The 6,300-nt window shown below is 40.6% G+C and overlaps 1 protein-coding gene across 1 annotated transcript in view; it reads right to left on the reverse strand.

Annotated features, from left to right (window-relative positions):
• EBF2 (EBF transcription factor 2) overlaps positions 805-6,300 on the reverse strand; it is a 203,689-nt gene continuing 198,193 nt past the window's right edge. The window contains exon 16 of the mRNA NM_022659.4: positions 805-3,720. Within this exon, the coding sequence (NP_073150.2) occupies positions 3,689-3,720 (32 nt within the window). The 3' untranslated portion in view covers positions 805-3,688. The remainder of the gene's footprint in view (positions 3,721-6,300) is intronic.

A 6,300-nucleotide genomic window follows, 5' to 3' on the forward strand; every position in this document is an offset into this window, starting at 1 on the left:
GTGTGGTTTGAAGATATCTGTACCCTCCTAGAGAGAAATGAAATAATCCAATTTTAATTACACTTGTGAATACTCTGGTTGAAAAATCACATGTAGGATCCCGTTCTCCTAAGTGTGCTTTGTGAATTTCCCTTTGCATGTCTTTATGTTATCCTTCCCATCTGGACTGCTCGCTACTAACCTCCTCTACTGCAAAATTCCTGCTGCTCTTTGGAGCCCTGGTCCAGCCCTGCCTCCCTCAAAGGAACCCTCTCTGACAGCTCCAATCCTCTGTCTGGGTGTCTTCTCCGAGCTTCTGCACCCTCTCTATCTTCCTGAGTGAGCTATCGTCTGCGTATTATTTTCTTCCATGAGTACACGTCTCACTCCTTTCCTACGATTTAAGGAGAGACATCAAGTCTTTGTGTTCTAGCCTGCGATTCTTCACCCAGTGTCTGACGGCTCAAGATGTAACATTTGCTCAACAAGCAATTTCAAATCAGGGGAGACTGCCCACCTACCTCAGGAATACTATATAGCCAAAATCCAACAGAGCAAACAGGATTCTTTCAGTTTTGAGGGGTTTTTTTATGAATGAATTTGAACAGATGGATATATAGATGAATATATACAGAAAAATGAACAAAAGTCATGCTCTCCTTTAAGGGAGTAACTTAGTACACATTCCATGTAAACAAAATCTATAGTAAGATTTCCTCAAATAGAACTCAGGGACCAGCAGTTATGAGAAAATTGCCAACATTAAGAACAAATTCCAAACTACCACTCCAAAAAAATAAAAAATAAAAAGCAAAGGTCCACTCATTTTTACAGTACAAAAATTTTATTTTTTTGTTAGGATAATTTAAAGTTTAAAACTGAAGTAGACATATTCATTTTACAAACAAGATATTCTTTAAGTAAGACCATTAAAAACAGTAAACAAAAAAGCTGTCTTTACAAAAAGCTCTGTGCATAGCAACTTTATACTGTATATAACTGACAAAGCAAAACAATAAAATGAAACTATACAGTGTGAAAATGAAACCTTACTGTACAAAAGGTAGAGAAGTTAATGGTTTTTAAACCATGCATATTGAAATGTGCAAAGAAAAACTGAGAAGAATTACAACGCTATAACAAAAGAAAGATAAATAATGAAGTAAATTGTCCCTTTAAATGAAAAAAATCTTACACAGCTCCTCTTACAAACACAGGATAGAGTTTGTAGTTACCAATAGAAATACTCATATTCCAAGTGGCACAAAAATAACTTGGGACTGGAATGATTGAATAGCAATGACTAACGAGGACAGGGTAGCTTTGTTTTTAATTTATTAGTACACTAAAAATAATCCTTACACACATTTGTACAATTAAATAGCTCTGTTGCTGCCAGGGTTCTAGCTGAATGGTCAAGATGTCTGGTATTTAGTTACACGCATTTTTCGGTGTAAAGCTACCAAGAAATTCTACAATCATTTTGAAGACAGTACTGCACTCATCTTCATGCAAAAGGAAAATTCACAGGTTCTAAAAGCAATGCTACTTAAAAAAAACAAAATTTCCTTATGTTGGATTGGCTCAAATCCAGGGCTAAACATGCTTAATTTTGCTCTGCCTTCACTTTTGGAAGGTAACATTCATATTCCACACATTCTTCCCCTTCCATCAATCAGGTTTCTCACTGGGGGACTTTTTCTCTTATGTTTCCGTGTATTTTGGCGCTTTAAGCCCTGACTATGAGGGACTGTCAGCAGTAGTTATAAGCATGCCAGGTTTCTAAAACCTTGGATTCTCATGTGCATAGAAATAATATAAGTCATACTGGGTAATTCCAGAATGGGTTAAAGGCAAATAAGACAGTTGGGGCTGGATAGATGTGGGCCTGCATCAATGGGTCAAAGAGAAGGTATGCAGAATTAATGAAATCATCTAAAATTGGCTCAGATGCACTCATGATGTTTTTCCATGAGTGCTGCATCTATTTCTAATGCTGAAATCCCAACCAAGAACCCCAAACTAAGTCTGTGTATAGACTCTATTGTGGTGCTCATGAGTCAATAAGGAGAACCCCAACGTGGAAACAAGTGACATCTTTATTGGCAATCCCAATATGCCTGGATATGTCTCTAGGATTACATAAGCTTTCAAGAATCAACCACTGTTAGCAGCTAAGGCAAGGTTCTTCCCCTCTAAGAGCTAGTCACAAAACGATGAAGAGCCCATCAAAGGGCTGGGTAACTGTGCTGCATAGAACGCAGATGCCCCTAATCTCTGGATCTCCCAAGAATCTGGTCTTGCCTTTCTTCGAACATCAGAAGAGGGGATTAGGGCTTTTAATATCCCTCTCCCACATTCCGTCTCATTCTTGACTAGAAACTGTCGAGTGGCATAGCTATGTTTTTCAAGAGAGTTTAATGCCATAAAAGGGGAAATTGACAGGGAGAGGAAAGGACTTGGATGTTCTAAGACTGACTCTAAAGAGTCCATCAAACAGAGTTATCTTCTCCAAACCGTGTTGCTGAAGTTCTATGGGGCTGTGTACCTCTGTACTGAACCAGGCACCCAAAGCGGAGGGAGTGGTGGGGTTCTGGTGAGGAGGAATTCCCAAGGGGTCCCTTGGTTAAGAAAGTCTGTGGTTTTGGCTCTGCTAGAAGGTGAGGTGCTTCTTTCCTTGGGATGCTGAAAGCCTGAGACAGACTCAAACATGGGAATTCTCTGGACTGCTCAGGGGAGAACGTTGAAAGCTAATAATAGGAATTTTAAAAAGTATTCACAAGAGTGTGGACTATTTAGAAATCAGACGGAGCTGGGAATGAATTGATGGGTTGGAGTATTTGTGCATGTGCTAGAGTGTCTGTTTCTGCATTAGGGTGTTCTGTGGGAATCTACATGTTCTTGCCCTTGGGTCAATAAAGTGATGGAAAAGGAGGGGGTGCAGGACAGGGGATAAGAATCTAGTAAGTAACTGCAGTAATAATCACACACCTTTAAAACTTGTTACTACATGTTTGCATCATTTTCATTTTACATCAGGAAGAGAAATCCCTCTCTCTTCCAAAAAAAGGTCTTAATTTCTACCTCTACTTACAATAAGTTACACATTTATTTATTTAAATAATTGTAAAACATTTTAAAATTTTTCCCTTTTTTTGTTCATTTTTTAAAGAGATTAAGCTATAAGCAAACACACATACAACATTTCATCATTCAATTCAGGTTGCGTTTTAAGAAAGTCTTCCGTGCTGGTACCCTGTTTTGTTCAATTTTTTTCTGCATAAACTAAATTGGTATCTGAAAGGCTTCATAGAAAATAGAAACTTTCAACTTTTTTTTCCTACAAAGAAAAACAAATAGTATCCAAAATATTAAGCATTAATTGTTTGCCAATTTTTTCTTAAATATTTTACAAACATAGGAAGGTGGTTTTCATAATGTTCATAACAAAGAATTGCATTTCTGCTCTTAGCACTGACTACGTCAATGACATCTTTTGTCCTTGTCCCAAGAGGGTCAGTTTGTGTAGCCACCATCAGAGCTATAGGAGGACGTGGGACCAAGTAAGATGCTGGCTCCTTGCAGACCCAAGGGTGTCCATCATGTTCATGTGGGGGCACCACTACACCCCCAAAAGAGCTCCTAGTGCTTTCTTCATTATTGGTCCATCAGAGTAAGTAGTTTTGTGCTATAAGAAAGCAGTTCTTCTTTACATCGGGGGTACAACAAGTCCGGTCATGGCTGCAAGGAAAGAGTGGCACAGGAATGAGACTTGGGGACTTTTTATGTTCAAGGCTATGACACAGAATGAGGGGCAGGGGATGGGAATGATAGAGTCTGATGCTATTCAAGGAGATGGTGCCCTCAGCTGATATGAGGACCTGTTCTCCAGGTTTGGTCTAGCAGACAGCCCATTAAAGGCACTGAAGCCTTATGGAATCACTGAAGTACAAGGAAACCTTGATGAAGTTTTGCCTGGGAGGCCAGGAGTTATGTTTTGTTTTATATGGGTTGTATAAATGAGACAACAGATGTAAACATGTAAACTAAACTGTAATATATGCATATTTTTTTATTCAACTAAGATAATTTCCAGATTATACTGCTCCAAATCACTTAGTTGGAACAGGAAAGGAAATTCCAGGTGCTGAGCCTGTTGATTTACTAGGGCATCGTTGATAACAAATCAAGCTTTTTATCTATCCTTCACTTCTTTGGTGAGTGCATTTTTTTTTTAATTAGCTCATCTTCCTTTGGTGCTCACTGTTCATGTCTGATGCTCATTGCAAATGAACACTGATCACTGGAATAGAAGACTTCATTTAGTCCCTCAGTTCCCACTCTTCTTTGTTGAGGTGGAATCTTGTTCTGTCACCCAGGCTGGAGTGCAGTGGGGCCATCTCAGCTCACTGCAACCTCCTGGGTTCAAGTGATTCTCCTGCCTCAGCCTCTGCCTCCTGAGTAGCTGGGACTACAGGTGCATGCCACCATGCCTGGTGAATTTTTGTATTGAATGGGGTTTCGCCATGTTGGCCAGGCTGGTCTTGAACTCCTGGCCTCAGGTGATCCACCCACCTCAGCCTCCCAAAATGTTGGGATTACAGGCATGAGCCACTGTACTCAGCCTCCAATTCCTACTCTTCATCACCCTATATGAATGGAGTAATCTAATTCTTTCTCCCTTCATCGGGTCAAAAGGATTCGGACAATGCCTGTCTGGGCAGAATCACTTCCCAGGGTTTCCCTAGATGTGGCAAATAAAGCAGCACCAGCACAATGTGGAAAAATCCCACAGCAAAATGTATTCCTCCTGCCTTGGCTTTCAGAGGATAAGCCCGTGGGATTTTCACATTCTTAGAAAATGGCAGAATAGTTTCCATGCATCAGAACCTTTAAAATCATATCTAGAATTTGATCCTTTGCATTTTACTATCTACAATGCATCTAAGGAATTATTCAATATAATAGAAGCATTTTGCTGAGTGTTGCTTACTAAGCTTCCAAGCAAATGGCTGAAATTCTCTCTGCTTTTCTCAACCCTTCCATCTCTCTCTCCTCTCTTACTCTCTCTGCCCCTTTTTTCCACATCAGCTAGTCCTCTCGGGTAAAATTGTCAGCTGTCTATTTCCCTGCCCATATAGCCTTTATTGAATGTTTGTGAGATCTGGATTAAGGTCTTACACAGCTAGCAAAGCCTTAATTATTTTTGCCTGTATTACTATATATTGAATCAATGTAACTTTTCAATAAAGGCGGTTCAATTCTGGACACTCCCTGATGACTTAGAGATATAGCAACCCTAGTAATTATCCCAGAGTGTAGGAGGTTTTTTTATTTTATTTTTTTTTTCCTGGAGGGAGCTGGAAAATGAATCAGACACATAGTGTGTAATATTATCTCAACAATCTATACTCATCAACTGGAAGCAGCTGATAAATGAGGTAGAAGGTGGAACCATGCTGTATGTGGAGCTCTCTGGCAGTGGAATTCTGACTCACAAACTCCTGGCTGGGCACGGTGGCTAACACCTGTAATCCCAGCTGTTTAGGAGGCTGAGGTGGGAGGATCGCTTGAGCCCAGGAGTTCAAGACCAGCCTGAGCAACATGATGAAAACCCATCTCTACAAAAAATACAAAACAGCCCAGCATGGTGGTACATGCCTATAGTCTTAGCTACTCAGGAAGCTGAGGTAAGAGAATCTCTTATTGAGCCCAGGAGGTCAAGGCTGCAGTGAGCCATGATTGCACCACTATACTACAACCTGTGTGACAGAGTGAGACCCTGTCTCAAAAAGAAAAATCTTCAGTCCCTTCCTTTTTCTGGGTGCTCAGAGAGATACCAAAGGGGCTCATGTAACAGCAGAGGTGCTCAAAGATCAAGATCCCCTGAATGACAGAAAAGAACAGATTTGAGATATATCCCTTCCTCCTAGTCCTACATCCAGACTGGGTAGGCCTGATCTCTGCTAGGTGGAAACTGACTTTTTGCTTGTAGAAACCATAGGCAACAGACAGAAAGTAATAATCTCCCTTTGAACCAGGTGGAAAGTAGGTATGGGGGTAGGGGGTATAGGGTAAAGAGAAGAATTTCACTCTCATTGTCCCTGAAGACACAGTGGGCTGCCAGAGCACAAGCTCTGGAATCTGCATGTCTGGGTTCAAGTCATCAGACTTTTCCTGTGTGGCCTTGGGTAAACTGCTTAACTAAGAATGGTGATAATGGCATGACTTGGAGATAATTCTCTTAAGGCACTCAGTTCGGCACCTTGCCTATAGTGCTCAGGATAGTTAGCAAGCCTCAAAGAGTGTGGGCAGCATATG

Source organism: Homo sapiens, chromosome 8 (assembly GCF_000001405.40).
Source record: "Homo sapiens chromosome 8, GRCh38.p14 Primary Assembly".
In the NCBI taxonomy this organism is placed as follows: Eukaryota; Metazoa; Chordata; class Mammalia; order Primates; family Hominidae; genus Homo; species Homo sapiens.